The 20,344-nt window shown below is 40.3% G+C and overlaps 1 protein-coding gene across 1 annotated transcript in view, besides 1 other annotated feature; it reads left to right on the top strand.

Moving 5' to 3' along the window:
• Positions 1 to 20,344, top strand: part of CCDC6 (coiled-coil domain containing 6) — a 117,810-nt gene that overhangs the window by 68,059 nt on the left and 29,407 nt on the right. The window contains exon 3 of the mRNA NM_005436.5: positions 5,845 to 5,973. Coding sequence (NP_005427.2) covers positions 5,845 to 5,973 — 129 coding nt within the window. The remainder of the gene's footprint in view (positions 1 to 5,844; positions 5,974 to 20,344) is intronic.
• Positions 5,713 to 6,007: a silencer, noted in NCBI's record as "tiled region #6982; K562 Repressive non-DNase unmatched - State 14:Gen5'". NCBI's record gives its function as "represses a minimal TATA promoter and a strong SV40 promoter by Sharpr-MPRA in K562 cells {active_cell/tissue: K562}" and the evidence as "EXISTENCE:reporter gene assay evidence [ECO:0000049][PMID:27701403]".

The raw sequence follows: 20,344 nt of genomic DNA, 5'->3' as shown, positions 1-20,344 counted from the left end.
GTGGGAAGCTTGCATAGGGATTGGATCATGGAAGGACTTGAATGTTATGCCAGTGAGTTTGGACTTAGTCCACAGGTAGTAGGGAGCCATTGAAGAGTTTTGAGCAGGACATTGAAGTAATAGGACTTGTGCTAGGATGATCTACAGTGGACCTGGGGAGATCCAGTAGGAGGTTTTGGCAGTAGCCCAAAGGAAAAGGAATAAAAGGCCTGAACCAGACTGGGGCCATGAGCACATGGCACACACAAAGGAGAGTGTGTGTGTGTGTGACAGCTGTTATGGAGGCTGACTTCATGGGCCTTGGTAACTCATGAGATGTGAGGCATTGACCCAGAATACTGGTACCAGTAACAGAAGGGGAGGAGGTGGGAATAAGTGTGGGCCCAAGAAGCCCTTAGTGATGAAGTACTGAGTTTGAAGTGGGAGTCTGAATTTCTGCTCAGTAGCACAGCTGACAAGTCGGTTCTTGAGAGACTTTCTATGTTCTGAGAGAGATTTTTGAGCTTTTTTCCAAAGCTCATATTAATAACATTATGATTGCTTTTGACAGTCTAATGGCTTAATGCAGTTATTGTCCTGGGGTGGCCTTTACTTGGTCCAATGCAGGTAGCTCCATTCCTTGGTAATTTTCAATAAACCAGGGATGTTAGTTGTGGTACTGTGGGTAACAGATATTAGTTGACTAGTGAAAACAAAGCTGGGGGCCTCTCAAGCTTCTTCTTCTTTCTTTTTTTTTTTTTTTTTTTTTTTTGAGACAGAGTCTCACTCTTGTTGCCCAGGCTAGAGTGCAGTGGTGCGATCTCGGCTAACTGCAACCTCCACTTCCCAGGTTCAAGTGATTCTCCTGCCTCAGCCTCCTGAGTAGCTGGGACTACAGGCACATGCCACCACGCCTGGCTAATTTTTTTGTATTTTTGGTAGAGACAGGGTTTCACCATGTTAGCCAGGCTGGACTCAAACTCCTGACATCAGGTCATCTGCCCACCTCGGCCTCCCAAGTGCTGGGATTACAGGCTTGAGCCACTGCGCCTGGCCTGGTTTATTCTTAAGTTGTCTTGAAAAAGCTGGGTCCTAGAGGTAGTGGCTAGAAGCCTTGCTTCGGTTGGCAAGGACTGACTTGACAACAAGCCCAGACCTGCACATTGACATTTTACAAAACCTAGGATCCAGCAAACCTGCTGCATGTTGGGTGGGAAGGTGCTCTCAGCATCCAGCGTGCACATGCACCTGTGGTACCTATTGGAGGAGGTTCTCCCAGGTAAATGATTTTCAATGCCTCTACCTGCTAGAAAGAATTTATTGAGAAAAAAGTCATTTGGTGCAGAGTTCTTGAATCTATTATGTAAAAGGCCTGGTTCATTGAAGTGGTTCCAGAAATCCTTTGTAAATTATAAGCACAACAATTATTGGTAATTGGATGATGCTTAAGGCTAGCCTGCTTAAGATCAAATTAATGCTACACTTGTGTATTTCATTGGGCTGGAAGTTTGCTTTGAGACTATATATCTAATCAGTGGATGATACAAGAAAATGCTTGCTTTAGGACTTAGAATTTAAAATTATACTGATTTATAGTTGAGCATATAGTTGCATTTTCATTTATGCCCTTTTCAGTTCTGTTAATATATTTTTCTTTTTGTATCCCAAGGAACAAACTTTTATTTATATAACCCTAATTCCGTTGAAAATGTGATCTGCTGAGGGATCATTGTTATGTGATTCTGATTCCACAGGGATATTTTTATTAGTGTTAACATATAGCACAAATAAGGGTTATAAAACTGTTCCATAATCTTTGAGATTGACTTTATATAAAAAATGTATTTGTTGAAAATTGATTTTTGAAAAAAGCCATTTAATCTGCCTAGGCATTTAGCTTTATATATATTTAAGGCAGACACATAAGTATCATTTCAAAATATTAATTAATATGCTTGATTATTATTAGATGGAATAATTCTTGTTCTAGTTCAGGATCTTTGACTTTATTGGAAGATTTAAAATTGTTCATGTAACAGTACATTAAGACCTATGATTATAAATTTAAAGTCGTGCCTAGAAAAGTTTGCCCATATTGAAGATGGGCATCAGAGGTGAAACTGACAGCTAGTCTTGAGTCACCCTGCACCAGGCTTCCCAGGGTTTTTACGTCTGTGGTGCCATGAGCTATAGCTTTAAAATAGGCAGGTCAATTCAGGGTGTTGGTTCAAACCCTATTGGAGCCACGTTGCTTGAATTTACATGGTATCTGTTTAAAAGAGAATATCTGAATTTTTCTTAGACAAACTATATGAGGCAAGTTCTGTAGTTATTAGTCCTTCAAGGTCCCTATGCACACATTTGCCTCCTACCTCTTGCTCATCTTAACCCTTGTCTCATGATTTTAGGGGACTGAGGTGCTTCTGTGCTTCTCTCAAGCAAGCTTTTTTTTTTTTTTTTTTTTTTAGACAGGGTCGCAGTCTGTCACCCAGGCTGGATTGCAGGGGTGCACTCATGCTCACTGCAGCCTTGACCTTCTGGGCTCCAGCAGTCCTCTCACCTCAGTCTCCTGAGTAGCTGGGACTACAGGTGCGCGCACCACCGTGTCCAGCTAATCTTTTTTTGTAGAGACAGAGCCTCACTCTGTTGCCTAGGCTGGTCGCAAACTCTGGGGCTCAAGCGATCCTCTTGCTTCGGCCTCTAAAAGTGCTGGGATTATAGGCATGAGCCACTGTGCCTGGCCGTGTTTCTCTTTTTATTGGCAGTTTCTTTGTTCCAGGAAGAACTATATTTTCTGTTTCTAGTCTTTGTTCAGGAACTCCATGCTCTGCTTCTGTTGCATGTCACCTGAGGTGGCAGAACAAAGCAGGCAGCAGAACTGTTTGTTTTAGCACTGTCTTTGGGGGATGATAAAAACTGTGAATCTTTAGCAAACAGAGTTAGATCTCAGAATGGCTTGATATTTTCCAAATGGGTTAGTGTAACCCAGTGACCTTACTTGAGTTCTGGTAATGACAGCTTTACCATCAAATTTTCCTTAGGGTACAGCTCTTGAGAGGAAAATGCCTCCTAAAATTGAGAGCTCTGTTAGGCTTTGTTACTAGTTCAATCTATAGTCTTAAAGGAAGTACCTAAAGCTACTGACAGTGTTAGACCATCTGTCTAAATATGGATATTTTCCTGCAAGCCAGTGAGAGCCTTGCCTTTCCTCAGATGTTACAACATTCTATGACAAACGCTGCTTGGTGGGCAAGAGATTTTTCAATGTTAGATTACATCCTTTATTGTTTTAGTTTACCTCAGGGCAGAGGCATAATGTTGAGAAAAAAGAAGGGTTCTTTCAAATAAAAATGGCAGCAGTTGAAAACATATTGGAGGAAAACATAGCTACTATATTAAAAAAGCTATGCAAATAGTTTAAAGGTTTTAAGACTTAAGCTTATCATCTCTCAATAACTAGTAGATACTGTTAAAGCTTAGTGTTCATAACTATTTTTAGAGCAAGGATGATATGTTAACTATAGATCTCGCCTACCATTCTCATAGTACCTGCAGATAGAAGACAGCACAGCACGCTTACTGAATGAAAGCCTTAGGCGCAGATGAACATGCTTTGCTATATTTTTCCTCCTAAGCGATGCTTGTTTCATTGGGTTCTTTTTGTCGAAAGTGCTGGGAACTCTTCTTGTTCTCTATTCATTCGTCTTAGTTCTTTTAATTGCTGCTTGGTCTTGCAGAACCTGAGTTTTAAAGAGCTAGCTAAATATAGACTTGTCACTGTAAGCACCTCCTTACACCTGCTTTTCTCTTGGGTCCCTGCAAGATTGACGAGGTTATTTTTGGCCTTGAACATCAAAAACAGTTGGAAGGAAAACAGCATCTATTTAGTCAATATTTCCAGTGTTGGAAGACTACGTCAGATTAAAATTTTTTTTTCTTTTTTTTTTTTCTTTTTTGAGACAGAGTCTCGCTCTGTTGCCCAGGCTGGAGTGCAATGGTGTGATCTTGGCTCACTGCAACCTCCGCCTCCCTGCAACCCCTGCCTCCTGGGTTCAAGGGATTCTCCTGCCTCAGCCTCCTGAGTAGCTGGTGCATGCCACCACACCGGGCTTATTTATTTATTTGTTTGTTTGTTTGTTTGTATTTTTAGTAGAGACAGGGTTTCACCATGTTGGTCAGGCTGGTCTTGAACTCCTGGTCTCATGTGATCCACCTGCCTTGACCTCCCAAAGTGCTGGGATTACAGGCGTGAGCCCCTGCGCCTAGCCAAAACAATTTTTTTTTTCCTTAAACTGAGTATGTGTTTTCAGGGCAGTGGACACTGTCAAATGTGGAGAGTGTTACTTGTAGCCATTTTGAGGATGATCAGGCTTGCCTCAGCTCTCAGTTGTCCACTCCACCCTAAGGAGGGTTTACAAAGAAACGTTGCATCCCCTGGGCAAGCATACGTGGCTTTTTTTCTATGTTTAATCATTTGGCTTTCCAGGTGCACAGGGTGTGGTAGGTGCTCATGGGTGGAGCAGTCTGAAGGCGACCTCTCTTGGCTTTGCTCAGTGATACAGCGGGAGAGAGCACTGGTTTGGGGTTCTGGGTCCCAAGCTCTGCCACTTTCCAGCTGTATTGCTTCAGTCTAATAATGTGATTTGTCACATATAAAATGGAAGTGACCATGCCTGTCTAAATGCATGTGAAGAACCTGGTGTATAGTGTCTGCCAAAAGAAATGGCTTTGAACATAAAATTAGGGAGCAGTGTCCTATTCAGCCAAAAACTAAAACTTTTGTGTGCTTCATTGTTTTTAGTAGCTTTTACTTTTTTCCCTTAATTCTGAAACATCAGGCCAACCCCTGCTGTGGATCAACAAACCCCCCCCCCCCCCAGTTGAGAGTGTTATAAAAATAACGCGCGATTATTAATGAGAACCTCCCCAAGTCCCTATGGGTCCACTGGATTTCTTTTATTTTCCTTTGGTTTTGTAGGTTGGAGTTTGGTTTGTTTTTGTTTTTAAATTTTCTCTGGTAATGACACCTTAGCCTTATCTTTTAATTGCATGAATAAGATTCTTTTTTTGAGACAGAGTTTTGCTCTCGTTGTCCAAGCTGGAGTGCAATGGCACTATCTCAGCTCACTGCAGCCTCCACCTCCTGGGTTCAAGCGATTCTCTTGTCTCAGCCTCCCAAGTAGCCGGGATTACAGGTGCCTGTCACCACGCCCAGCTGACTTTCATATTTTTAGTAAAGACAGAGTTTCACTGTGTTGGCCAGGCTGGTCTTGAACTCCTGACTTCAGGTGGTCCACCCGCCTTGGCCTCCCAAAGTGCTAGGATTACAGGTGTGAGCCACCATGACCAGCCAACATTTTCCCTCTTGGTTTTTAGGGAATATATAGTAACTGTGGCATACAGTCTCTGTATGGAAAAATAATTGTGCTGATTTTTATGAAGGCATGCTTACTTGTACACTGGAAATAGCATTCTGAATAATTTACCTAAGTATGTTCTGTGATTTTGACATCTCTGTCTACATACATGATGCAAATCTGAATAAACTGCAATTCATTTAATAAAAATTGGTATGAAATTTCTATTTTTTAAAAATTTATTTGTATGCCTATAGTATAAAACCTGAAAGGTAGCAAAAAGTATATTGCAAAACACAAATTGCATTTCCATTCCCTATGACTTTTGGTTTTAAGTTAGAGGAACCAGTTAGGCACAGATTACTAGGTATATACTTGCACATTTGAGCAAAAATGGGTAATGTAACTTTTGTGGTATAGCTTCTTTGTATAGTCACCTTTTGGAGCCAGTGTTTCCATGGCATTTGAGTTGCCTGATTTCCACATCTCGGTGTTTTTCATTTTCCAGTTGCAGCATGAGAAAGCCGAACTAGAACAGCATCTTGAACAAGAGCAGGAATTTCAGGTCAACAAACTGATGAAGAAAATTAAAAAACTGGAGAATGACACCATTTCTAAGCAACTTACATTAGAACAGGTAAGCACCTGTAGCTCTTCCTTTACATTGTATTTTCTCGTTCTCAGCTTGTTCTTTTAAGCTTTAAGATGCCTGGAGGAATTTAAGTGAAAAGTAGTTTTCAGCTTTCTCTCCCCACTGTGGAGACTTCATTTCTAAAGTGAGCATTGACAGGTTTACATAGTTCCTATCATTCTCTCACACATTTTCTCTTTTTTAACCACAATTAATAAAGTTTCAGGAGATAAGTTGTGATGTACTGATTTATAGCAGGAAATGTCAGCTTCCTTTTTGCAAAGCAAAGGGAGAAGAATGTTTTTGACCACAGGATAGTTTCTGTGAAAGTTCCTAAGACAATGTTGCTATGGAACTAAAACTGGTCTTTCAAAGCTTCTTCAGAATAAACAATTAACATTTTCCTCTTTGATTGATTGGCAACCTTACATGAGCCTTCTCTTCTCCCAGTCCAGACTTGTTGGTACAAATATGGAGTCATAGACTTGGTAACTCACCTTGAGTCAACCACTGACTGATTGTATGACCTTATATTAACTTCATTAATTTCTCTGGGCTCAGGTTCTCCATTTGTAAACAGAGCAGGACAGACTAAAACCAGAAATGGCAAACTTAACAAGGGACAAAGGTGGGAAGTAGTAATAGCACGCAATCCCTTTGTCCTCTGCCCTCAGCAGGCATTGGTGTTGGAACATTGGCCTTGGGAGTCCAGACTTGGTCTGTATGCCCCATTATCACAGAGAACTCTGGGCAGCTGTTGTCACTCCATTCAGGGTGTGTCAAACTATATTATTGCTAGCCTCGGTGTTCCCCGATGCCTTCACCCATGCTAGCGTCCTGAAATTTTAGTTCCCTTAAGTTATAAGAGGCTGATGCTAGTGTACTGCTACCTGGGTTTCCATGTAAAATGCAGTAGATGAAGATCTTCCAGCTGTTTGTATTTTAGATCCTGATTGCCCTGATTAGGCTAAGCCTCATTAAAGTTGTCTGATTTATCTCACATTCAGGCTTCTCCCTGTGCACCTTACTCCATGTTAACTCATTCCATCAGTCACTCTCAGGACCGCTCTCGTTTGAATATTTTACCTGAGAATGAAACAGTGATCGTGCTGCAAGGTTTGAAGGGAAGTTAGAGTTTGTCTTAAAGTAAGACTGACTTTAGTTATTCTGTTATTCTTGTTTTTACCTGTAGCAAAGCAGGGAATGGTACTAGGTTTTCTAACACTGAATGATGACCCTAAAAGTGTTGTCATCCTTTCTGTGATGAAAGTTCAGTTTTCAAGTGCTGGCTATTTTATACATCTCGAGTAATTTCTTCTTACCATTCATCTTCCAAATTTAAATTCAGTGTCTAAGTTAACCAGACACCATGCCCCGTGCCCTACCAGTTTAAAAACATTTTGTTCTGAGTTTCACCCGTTTAATTCCCAGGATAGGCAGTAGCTCCAGTTCTGTTCAAGTTAAGGTAAGCTTCGAAGATTTGTGTTTAAGTCCCTGACACACCAAGTATTTACTTGTTAATCAAGAGTTAACCAAGTGACCAAGTGAAGTCCTCACAGAAGCTAGTATTAGGAGAGCTTTGCCTGGCCATGCCCTTCACAATGATGGTTGTCAATATTTTAAATATAATAGCTTCTCTCTGGTATTTGTTCACAGGCTCCTAAAGGAGACTTTGAAACTAGGACCGTGACCCAGAGGGTTTAGCTATGGCCACAAGGGGGAGGTAGTGGCCTAGTGTCAGAAAGAAGGGCAGTCTCATCCTATTGTTCCTGGGAAAAAGTCCTGCCTCCCTGTCTTAAGACCCTTTGCAGACTTTAGTAGCTGAACCTCTTTAAAATGAAGTCTGAAGCGTATATTCTCTATACCAAGTTAATAACTTAGTGACCTTTTAGGCTTATTTCAGTCCTCGATGGTAAAGAAATAGATTTCCACAATAAAATATGTTTAATGCAAAGCCCATTCTAGAAGTAAGCCTCAGATCCAGCATATGAAGCCTATGTTTTAATTAAAGTGGAAAAATTTAACATTGTCATAAAAATTTCCCCCACTTTGCTTTGGGTGTGACTGGGATAATTAAATGTGTTTTCTTTGACTATAAATAATTTTAATCAGCATTTAGGGGGCATGTTTGGTTTTTCCCTCTAATAGAAATAAATCCCTTAGTTTCCATGGATATGATCTGACCAGCCCTTGAGCCCATCTCTTGGAATTATCTGTATTGTATGATACGATGTAGTATATGTTATAGTCTATATTATATTATAAAGGATATCCTGTACTCTATATTATTGTCAGAAGAGCAAAGGCATGCACTACACTATGCCTTATCATGATTTACATGTAGTTTTTGTCTTTGCTTTACTGACAGTCAATGCTTTTAAACTATAAGCCACTTGAAGGCAGTTATCACATATGCTCCCACATGTCCCACTGCTTTGTTAGATCAGTAGTAAGTGTAGGTTTGGGCATGTGAATGGTGAGTGGTCCTCTGTATTTCAGAAGGCAGCGCAGGCTAGTGTTCAGGGCCTGGGCTCTGACTTCAAAGCAACCAGTTGTGAACCCGTTCCCTCTACTTAATAATCCTTTCACCAGTTCACTTTCTTTTTAACAGCCCTAGTGAGATGTAATTTACATATCCTACAATTCACCCACTTAAAAGGTACAACCCAGTGGTTTTCAGTGTATTCGGAGTTGTGCAACCATCACCAAATCAATTTTAGGACATTGTTGTGAACTCAAAATGAAACCCCGTACCATTCATCTGTCACCTCTAATCCCCTATAACCTCTAAGCAACTGCTGTTCTACTTTCTGTCTGTGTATTTGCCTATTCTGGACATTTCATGTAAATAGAATCATAATATGTGGTCTTTTGTGATTGGCTTCTTTCATTTACCATAATGTTTTCATCCCTGTTGTATCTGTACTCTTCTTTTTTTCTGGCTAAATAATCATCTATGGTATGGATATACCACACTCATCAATTATCCATTTATCGTTTGATGGACATTTAGGTTGTTTCCATCTTTTAGTTATTATGAAGAATGCTGCTATGAACATTCACGTATAATTTTTTTGTGTGGACATATGTTTTCATTTTTCTTAGTCATATGCCAAGGAGTGAAATTGCTGGGTCACATGGTAACTCTCCTTAAAATTGTGGAAACAAAATGTAATTTTAAAATAATCCATACTTTGCATGTAGTGGGTGAACCTGCAGAAGGGATATTGGAAGGCATTCTGCCAGAGATTTGAGTTGGTCACGATGTGTTTGTTTTGAAAGTAGAGCTTGGGTTATCATGGTTTCTGAGTTGGCTCCTTTCTGTTCTCTGTAAAGCAGAACTTAACTGGGCTGAGTTTCTTCCTAGGAAGGCCCCAGTTAACTCACATGTCAGCAGGGCCTCACTGTAAGTTTATCTCACTGAAAGTTAGTCCTTTGGTATGGACACTTCAATTAGTCAGATATCATTCATTCTTTTCATAGGCCTTGAATCTGGAATCCACTTATTCTTCAAACAGGGAATGTTCACAGCTAGATCATGAAGGTCTATGGGCTATAAATGGTTCTGTTGGTGTTTTGCAGTATTATAATTCACAGAATTGTAGAGCTAGAAGTCCAAGATGTTGGGAAGACTACCTTTTTCCCCAGACGCTAGTGGGGACATGAGACAGTGGGAAAATCACAAATAAATCCAGGGGTAGGGGCATCAGCTCTGCTCTTAGAAATTGGGACAACAGCCTCTTATTCTCATGTCCTCTCCCTCCAGAGTTTGCTGCAGAGTTGGGCTTGGTGGGAATCACTGCTTAGTGATAGATCAGTTTGGCCTGTGAGTGGCCCAGCTTGCTCATGCTCCCTTTTCAGAAATGGAAATCCGGAGAGAGATTGGGAGGGTTTCTTAAGTCACACAGCTAATGAGTGGCAAACGTGGTCCCCTGGTTCTCATCTTAGTGGTCTTTTAGACCCTGGAAAGACTTTAGCCTTTGCAAAAGTAAAGGCAATGTCATCTTTCTTTTATACTTCAAAGAACTCTACTGCTTTCCTGTTCAAACAGCCTGCATTAGTTCTTAATCATTTATTTTAGTTACCTTTTTGGCATTTATTTAGCATCTTAAATGCTTGATGCCAAAAGTCAATTTATAAGCAGATGTAAAAAAGCATATTCAGGATAATGTAAAATTGTGTGGTCTTTGTAGCACACAGTATTAGTCTAGTAAATTGGATTAATCTAGTCAACATGGCTTTAATGATATTGGGGCTTTCTAAACAAACACTGGTGGCCAGTGCCTATAAACCCTGACTTGCAGATTTTTCTTCAAACGTGGTCACTATACATCTCTTATTTGCTATTCACATTTTCTTAGGTAATGGTAAGAACATTTGGAACTTGGAATTTTCTGTTCATGTCAAGAAATCTTATTCTGAATAATATGTTCTGCCACTTAGGGAAAATTTTCCTTACTTGTCTAGCATTAAAAGGCACACATTAGTTTATATAATAAGTGAAGTTTAGCTCATCAGATATGAGGGCCTTTGTGTACTCTGCTCTGAAAATTATCTGATGGGGAAGAAGACAACAGTGGCATACGGTACGTGGGTTTTAGACACTCCATGGTTATTAAGTAGTACTGTAGAAAAATAGGGCACTATATCCGTGGAGGGTTAGTCATCTAATTCAGCTAACACTTACATGGTGTAACAGGATTGCCTACCATGTACCAGACCCCTTACTTTTTCCTTCCTGTAGTTGGCCCTGTGTCTTTTTTTCAGTTATTCCTGGAATTTAGGGACATATTTTCTTATCTGAGATGTCCCCCTTCTTCCATAGCACTAAAACCCATATATAAAGGTTGGATTTAGGATTGGTATATTAATTTTAGCTTATTAGCATCCATTTATAATGATATCTTAGCCCGTGTAGTTTAGGGAAACTTCCCTGGGTTCAAATCTCCCTTTCATCTGTAATAAACAGTGTGGCCTCATGCATGCAATTTGACCTCTTCTGTGAAGCAGTTGCAATTCTTATTTGTATATTTTGGGGAGGCTTAGTTGTCCTTCCTGCCTGTCCTCACACTCCATGTGTACTAAAGTTCTTTCTGATGCAGGATTATTCAAATGTGGACTACACAGCAAGAAATACATTTATATGGTAACCTAGTCACTGATGATATATAATTGTATGTGTCACTGTGATGACTTTCATAAAACGGTACTTACATGCTTTGCACTGATTTTCTATTTAATCATATTTCATTGTTATTAAAATGTAGGTCATAAAAGACTAGACTAATTTCAAAATCCAGTAATGGGTCTTGACCTTCAGTTTGAAAAAAGTGCTCTGCCTTGCCCAATGCTTTGGTGCCTCCAGATCTTCATGGATCTGTTTCCTCTGCCTGGAACACTTTCTCCCTCCTCTATCCTATCCCTGCTCAAGCCTTACTAGCGTCCCTCCTCCAGTCAGTTAGGTGTCTGTGCTATGAGGTATTTCTATAATATTCAGAACTACTCTTGTAACATTCAGTACTCTGTTTAATTGTTTCTTTCTAATAGCTTCCCTATAAGATGAAGGAGGGCCGAGACAAGGTTGACCTTAACACTGTATCCCTGGTGACTCTAATCTGTTAGCTCTCCAAAAATTGTAGCTGCTGCCATTTATACTGAAAAATGTCATCTAATTCCTATGGTACTTTGCCCTTTGCCCTACCCATTTTCCAGGAAAATAAGTGTGTATATCATTTAAGCCTCAAATGTTTCACTACCTTCCTTGAACTGGTTATCTGTCTCTTCAGGTATGGACATATTTATGCTCATATGTCATTTGTGATCTGGCCTCTTTAACTTTCTTCTTTGCCCATGCTGCTGTTGATGCCCTTGTATGGCATGCATCCTGCATTAATCCAGTACACCTGTATTGCATGTCTGCTGTGTGTCACAAACTCTTCTAAGAAAGATGATGGGAGGTCCCTGGCCTTGAGAAGCCTGGTCCAGGGAGGCCAGTGCTGAGGGATGCACTGGGCAGAGTACTGTAGTGGAGGAGAGTAGTGGTGCTCCCACCATAGCACAGCAGCCCCCTAGCCAGCAGAGAATGCCTGCAGCTGCTCTGAGATTGATGCAGGAGAAAAGACCCACTGGTTAAGTGGGTCTATGTTCAGCCATGTTGCAGGGAAGCAGAGATGGGAGAGGAGGCAGAAATGAGGAGAGAAAATAGGTAGTAAAAAGTATTTGCAGGTACTATATAGAGTAAAGATGCCAAGAACAGAAAAAGAGCTGTGAAGGAGATTTGAAGTTGACTCCCTGCCTCTACTTTGGGGGTCATGGAGTAAGAGGAGGTTTTGGTATCTGCTGTGTGGTGTACTTGAGGGTTTAGGCTTGTCTTTACAGTGAATGCCAGATGGAAGGAAGCCACATAGCTCTACCAGGGCTTGTGCAAGCCTCAGTGCTAACCATGTTCAGTGATTATCTTCAGCCACTAGATGACACTGGATGACTTAAAGGGGCTTGATGGGACCCCAGCTTCCAGGGGCAGTACAGGGAGTGACCCTCACTCATCTCAGTGCCCCTCATCATCTACAGCTGCAGCAAATCACAGAGGCCAGGGTTTAGAATAATGAATTTGAATCCTCAGGACAAAATTTTTTAAATTCATTGTCTTAAGCAGGAAAATATTTAGTATATTTTAAAGTCTTATCAGGAAGGAAAGAAAATTTTCACATTTCCAGTTCTTAGAATAGTGGCTCTTAAGATGTTAAAAACAGTTAAGGATAGTGCTAAGGATACAAGATGGCCTTTCTGCCTTGGTTGTCTAGAAGGCAATTCATTCAAAAATATAACCAAACTGACATCATAGCCAGTTCCCATACAATTCTGATGCCACTTGTTTTAGTAGCTACAGCAACTAACTCTAGTGAATTATACAGATAATCTTTGTGTCCTTGTGATTTATGAGTGAACTCAGTGGCTAGTGGCTCATATTCAAGTTTGCATCCTTGGGTGATGTGGTTTTACTAACTCCTGTAAAACATGGTTGTATTAGTCCTTTTTCACGCTGCTGATGAAGACATACCCTAGACTGGGCAATTTACAAAAGAAAGAGGTTTAATTGGATTAGTTCCTTGGAGCTGGGGAAGGCCCACAATCATGGCAGAAGGCAAGGAGGAGCATGTCCCGTCTTACATGGACAGCAGTAGGCAAAGAGAGAATGAAGAATACGCAAAAGCAGAAACCCCTGATAAAGCCATCAGATCTCGTGAGACTTATTCACTACCACAAGAACGCTATGGGGGAAACTGCCCCTATGATTCAATTATCTCCCACCAGTTCCCTCCCACAACATGTGGGAATTATGGGAGTACAATTCAAGATGAGATTTGCATTGGGACACAGAGCTAAACCATATCAATGGTGTTTCTCTTAAATTCACAGGTAGTGTGACCATACTGGGTCTTGTTTAGAATTCCATTCATGCTAAAAGCTTCCCTTGCAGATTCTGACAGCTAGAGGAATCCAATGAAATTGTGCTGAGTAGAGCACCTACCGATTTTTGTGTGCCATTTTGAAAACACAAAGAACAACCATGTTCCTTGAGGAGTCACTTGCATTAAGGAAATGAAATTTAGTGACTACCATGCATACTTTGTAGTTTAGTTATAAATACAAATTTCAGATTATGGAAGTCTTGGAATTTTTTTTCAAATCAAACGTTTGCATTGTACAAATAATCCATTGTTCTTTCAAGACAGTTTGGAAAACAAGTACAAAAAGAAGTACAAAAATGAGAAAACATGACCTAGATTGCCGTTCCCCTAGAAAAACAGCTATTGATGTTTTTCTTCATCTTCTCCTCCTCCTCCTCCTCTTTTCTCTTCCTCTCTTTTTTAAGTGGATTTGTAATTGGCTGCCCTGCTTTTTAAAAAATAAAACATCATAACTTATGTCTGCACATTTAGATAAGCTCTATTGGAGACATAATCATAGTAAACCCTGAAGTCGGCTTGGTGGGAATTTGATTATAGCGAATCCACAGTGATGTTTCAGTTGCCTGAGAAGCTTGGGTGCATTCATCCCACCCACTGCTTGTCCAAGAGAGGTGGGGAAGAAACCTCAGATAATAGCTGATAAATAAATGGAATTTTGTGCCTTGGAAGTGAGAAAACTAGGGTCAATACACCATACTCAAAAGAAGCTTCAGGAGGCTGTCTGTTGAGTTGATTTGTTTTGGAATCCATTTTTTGGGATGTGATGAAGCCAACTTAGGGGTGCCAACTCCAGACCTGTGAAAATAGACTCTGAGCTGTGTCAAGGGACACAGATAAGTCTCTCTGTAGGATATGAAAAAGGAAAAAAATCCCCCAGAATTCCTTTCCTAGACTCAATTTCAATTAAATAGAAAAACTCACTGTGTTCCATCTTGTAAGTCTTGTAAGACTTTATTTTGAAGCATCAGATGCCACATATAGGTCAACTTGTACAGATGATGTTACATGATGGAAGGGGAAAAACTCAATGTATTTCCTGTGTCAAAGGAGAGGCAGCTCATCATGATCCAATGATGTGCATCTTCTGGTTACCCACTGGGGACAAAGACCTTGCATGTTAAATTGAAGGGCAGTGGTTTGCTGCAGTAGAGCAGTGAAACCCAGGGATACTGTACTGAGACTTTCTAGTTGTAATTGTGAAATGCACAGGTCTGTTTCTTTATGATCAAAACAAGAATTTGCTTGATGACTTAGGTGTTCTCTCTAGCTGAACACACAGCAAATGAATGAATGGCTAAATAAACTCATCATCCCTATGTAAGGAAGTGGGATGAATGTGGTAATGACAAGAAAGAAATGATTTATCAAGGAAACTTCCATTTTGGATAAAGAACATCAAGTTTGTCCAAAACTTCCATTTTGGATAAATCACATTAGGGCAAGAGAAGTTGCCCTGTTGTTTTTAAAGAAGCTTGTTTTAACTTTAATAATATTTTGGGTTGGGAGACAACAAAGTCTTGCCATTGAAGCAGGATATTTCCCTGACCCCTTCACAGTAGTTGTGAGAGGGGTGTCTCATTTACTCAGCCCACCACTCTCAACTCCAGTGTGGGAACTGGAGTGAACAAGTGCTGGCACCGGCTGGCTGCTTAGGTACTGGCAGGAACGAACTCTGTGCTGGCCCCGTAGCAGCATCTAGGCGGGGGTGCCTGTAACTCCTGAAGCCCCAGAGGGTGTGTTACTGTACTCTTTTAGCTCTGCTGTCCATGGACGGCTTAAGTGTTAAGAGTTCAGTGGGCCCTTTGCCTTTTTGCATGAGTCGGCTGCCCTCCACCAGCAAGGGCAAAGGGCCAGTGTGACAGCCTTTTGTATCTGCACTCATAGCTCCTGAGCTCTTGTCTGGCATCCAGGAAAAATGAGGTTGCACAAATGAATTGAAGGATGGTAAATGTGGGGGATTTTATTGCCGATGAAAGTGGCTCTTAGCTGGAAGGGGAGCTGAAAAGGGGATGGGGCAGGTAGGTAATCTTCCCCTGAAGTCTGCCTGTAGTCTTCTCCAAAGTTACGCCAGCAAGCTGTCCCTCCGAAGTCAAACCGCTTCTCTCCAACCTCCAGCTGTAGTCCTGTCTACCGGCTGAGTCTGGGGTTGTTTTTTTTTTATAAGCATAGGGTGGGGTGGGACAGGGCCATGGGTGGTTTAGGAAAAGGCAACATTCGAGTGGAAAAACAGGGATATGAGTTCTCACTTTGGACTGTGGTTTCAGGCTTTTTGGCTTGAGGATGGGGTTTTGCCAGGGACCTACCCTTTTCTGCCTAGAATTTCTCTGCCCCCCTGTCCCTGTCACTGTGTTGCCCAGGGTGGTCTCAAATTCCTCGGTTCAAGCAGTCCTCCTGCATGAGCCTCCCAAGTAGCTGGGATTACAGACATGCACCACCACACCCAGCAAGATGCTTATTTTAGGTAATAGTCTGATGGTAGCCACTGATCTGATAGTATATTTGCAACAGTTACAGATGTCATTTCTTTCCTGAGGACTTCTCCACTGAACTCTTGATGTAGTAAAAGAATGTATACACAATACTGTGAAACTTGCTTTCCCTAAACGGCAATTATCGGTTAAAAGAATCCCCTCGAGTAATGAACCCAGTATGCAAATTTCTGTAATATTATGTTGATGTTAAAGTGATGAAAATGTTAAGACTAGAAACTGTGTTAATCTGAGTAATTAAATGTGTGTCTATTTCAAAAGTTATTTCTCATTGAAAGCAAAATTTATTGAACTGATAAGTTATGAAATAGTGTCATTTTCATGTTAATAATGGCATATTAATGTTGTCCTGAAATTATGTCAGTTTCAAAGAACAAATCTAATTCTTACAGGAACATAATTTTTTAGAAGAAAAAAGATGTAAGCTGTATTAAAGAAAGTAAACTCTGAGCTATCTGGAAAATTCTATCTTCCAAATAACTGAGCTTTCACTGTCATTTATTCTTCTGAAGGTTGATTAGCTCATTCTGTATTTTAAATATGCCAGATAATACCATATTAATGGATTGCTGTTTTTGGATGTACTATTCAATTATACTAGGAAACTCAGTTTTTTTAAGATTAGATATCTGGGTTTTTTTCTATAATAAAAATAGCAGATGTTGATTAAGAAATTGGGCAGGCCAGGAAAAAATAGGAAGATAAATTATCAACGGCATAACTTTCAGCCAAGGGACAACCATATTTATCTTGCTGTATAGTTCTTTCTGATTTTTTTTGCGTATTTCTCCTTTTTCCTGTATTTTAGATATATGTAGGTAAGTTTCTTTTCAATTATAACTTTGATCTTCTAGTCTAGGAAGTGACCACTCTTCCTCCCCCTTTTCCTTGCTCCTCACTGGCAGACTTCCCTCAACTCTTTCTGTTCTCAGCATTGCATGAGCTGTGTGATGACCTAGAACTTGTTCTTAAAATTCTGAAAGCAATCACAGCTTGATTAATCAAATAGACACCTGGGGATACTCTGTGGTCTATGAACACCTGTCTTAGTTTATCTGTAACACAGACTGACTACTTGTTTTGTCTTTTTTTTAAAAGACAGTTTTCCAGAATGCAAGGGTCAGATGTCTTCCACCTTAGGAGAATTGCCAGGACTGAGCAAAATTCCACTGATCACCTGAACAGACAGCTGACACAGACATTGCTTGTTTTACCTGACTTGTCTCCATTGCTTTACTTTGTGAAGGCTTTGTCAAGGACCATTGTGGATTGCTCTTAGCTATTTTCATGTCAGATGCACGTGATGTATTTTAATAGCCCCCTCATGAATTCTGTTAGTCACTTCTTTCCAATATATAGGTACAATCTGGATTAACTCAGGTGTATGGGAAAATAGGATGGAATGAGATTGTCTCTGCTCTTGTAGTAGAAGCAAAACTGTGACCATTTTTCTGACTGATTTATTTTTTGAATATTGTACTTATATTTTCTCAGGTGATGTTGATGTACCCCCAGGTCAGCACTTTGAACACTTGAACATCTATGAAATCACATAGTAAAGTGATAGGAGATGGGGCTAAGCTTTTAATGGCCTTTAGACATAGCATTAGACATAACCTAAGCTGAAAGGCTTTGGGAAGTTGTTGTGTTAAATCCCCAACACACTCTCGTGTTTTCTTAGGACTTGCCTCTTATTTAAAAAAAAAAAAAAAAATCTAGCCAACTTTAGAGTTTGGTTAATGTGGCTGTTAAAGTATTCTGCTATCTTTTTCTTTTTTTTCTTTCTTTCTTTCATTCGTTCATTCATTCGTTCTTTTTTTTTGAGACAGAGTCTTGCTCTGACACCCAGGCTGGAGTACAGTGGCACAGTCATAGCTCACTGCAGCCTCAAGCTTCTGGGCTCAAGAGATCCGCCTGCCTTAGCCTCTTGAGTAGCTGGGACTGGAAGCACATGGCACTGCATCTGAATAATTTTTTATTTTTTTTGTAGAGACGGGATCTCACTCTGTTTCCCAGGCTTAAGTGCCTGGCAAACTGTGTTCTATTTATATGATAGCCTTTACTTCATAGGCTTTACCTTTTCTTTATTACGCCTGGATTAGTACATGTCGTAGTTATAATGGACTGCTTTCCAAAATTTGTGTTATAAATCAAATATTTGGGTTTCAAAACAGATTTTCCCATAGTAATGATGATAATATGGTCCTTAAACTAAAACCTTTCAAAGCAGATTGAAAAGGTTCACTAAAACCTTTCAAAATCCTATAACTGAGCTAGATTTAGCTAGAGTTCTCATCCGGCTTTTTTTGCCAAACGTTCCTTACTCCCACCCCAGCATCGTAGTCCTCTTTAAATGGAAAAATGCAATAGTAAGAAAGAACTGTGGTAGCATTGGGAGCCACCTCTGGGCTGGCCCACTCCCTTTCTGCTTCTTTGGTCAGGATCTGTCTACTGAGAAGACACAAGTGGGACCGGCTGTGAATTCAAATAAGCCAGATGCATTTTTATATATTAAGTTTATTCATTGAAGAAGTTCTAAATTTATTTTGGGAACATAATAAGAACTCCTGGTCTGATGTTAATTAACCTGTAATGGAAAGTAGAGCTACTCAAGAGGAGTAAAGAATTTGGCAGTTCATTGAACTGACTTAATTACAAAGCAGTCTTTCCAATGAATATTCAGCTCCAATGAATAAATTAGCTCTATCCCTTGGTGCTGGATGCTTGCAGAATAATCACAGTACGGGGCTTGGGTTAGCCTGAAAATTAGATGTTTGGTAAGGGATGAGTGGGGTACGTATTGCATGAACACCAATTTTTTTAAAAAAGTGATCAGATGATACTAGGAAGGATGTGGAAGAGAGATTATTACAGATAGAGACCAGCATATTGACAGCACTGTATCACTTGGCTTTTTACACCTGAAGCAAGAATTTCCAACTTACTACCCTGGAAACTTAACATATATTATGAGCTTGTGCAATGACCAGGACAGTGTAAGCATTGAAAATCTGTTTTAATTGGCGGAACTGTTATGTTCACTTTGGCTCTAAGTATATAGGATTTGGAATTAGGTGGGCAGGAAGTGGTGGGGAAACTGATAAAGAACTTCAGGGGAAATTAACCAAGGGACTCAATATGATTTCCTCTAACTTCTCTGCTCTTTAATGTCAGCCAGAGCTCCTCAACAATGCTGAAAAGTTGAGATTTTTAAAACTGAAAAAACAAGAGGCCCTGCTCTTTTCAGGGTTAAAGATAATATAGAGTCCTGTAGCACTGCCAGCCTATGTAATGAAATACAGTAAGTCCTCACTTAACATTGTCAGTATAGTTCTTGGAAACTGACTTTAAGTGAAACAACATATATGAAAATCAATTTTACCAGAAGCTGATTGATATAAACAAGAGTTAAGTTCCTATGACATATTTCTGGTCACAAAAACATTATCACACTTCTAAATAAAGACCCAACATACTTCTGATATTAAATATTGAAACAAATATGAGTTATGCATATATTAAAGATTAATGAAAACCGTATAATTACCCCATTTTTAGTGAATCAGTGAGTGATGGTCATAGTAGTGATGTGTTAAATCAAGGGATAAATGTTTGCAAAGTAAAAATTGTAAGGAGCACCTCCTCCCAACTCACAGTTCAAAAGCAAATAGTAACAATTACAGCGGCTTGCTGAATACTTGCATACTGCATCATTGATTTTCATGTGTTTGTATGATTAGCATATACTTTATGAATTTGTATTTTACAATAATTTGTACTCATTCATTTTCTAACGTGCTTATTCCAGTTCAGATCAAGGGTGGCTGGAGCCTGTCCTGGCAGCTCAGGGCACAAAGCAGGACCCAATCCTGGATGGGGCACCAACTCATTGTAGGACACACTCATACACACACTCTTACTCACTCCAGAGGGACTATGTAGACATGCCGATTGCACATCTTTGGGACATGGAAGTAAACTCGAGTATCTGGAGAAAACCCACACAGACATAAGGAGAACATGTGAACCCTACATAGACAGAGGCCCCACTGAGAATCTGCTTCCCCCCCCCCCGTCAACATTATAATAAAAGGACGTTGAACATTCAAGGACCTACTGTACTTGAGAATCCACACGGCTGAGCTGGGGCTTCCTGTGTTGCCTGCATCATGGAAATAAATTAGTAGAGCAAATTGGGACAGCAAACCCAAGTTTCACACTCAGGGTGCCCACGTTTGCTGAGGTGGGCAGTAGATTGATAGCTGGTAACTCTACCAACAGATGCCAGGAAGGAGCCGAGATTCACGTAGAGCTCCAACCCATGTTTCCTGATCTCGTCTGTTTCCAAAATCGCTCATAGACTCCCTAAACTGTCCTTATTTCCCTGGCATCAGCTACCCCCAACTCTGCTACTCC

This window comes from Homo sapiens, chromosome 10 (assembly GCF_000001405.40).
Source record: "Homo sapiens chromosome 10, GRCh38.p14 Primary Assembly".
NCBI classification, from domain to species: Eukaryota; Metazoa; Chordata; class Mammalia; order Primates; family Hominidae; genus Homo; species Homo sapiens.
This window is presented reverse-complemented; position numbering and strand designations above follow the sequence as displayed.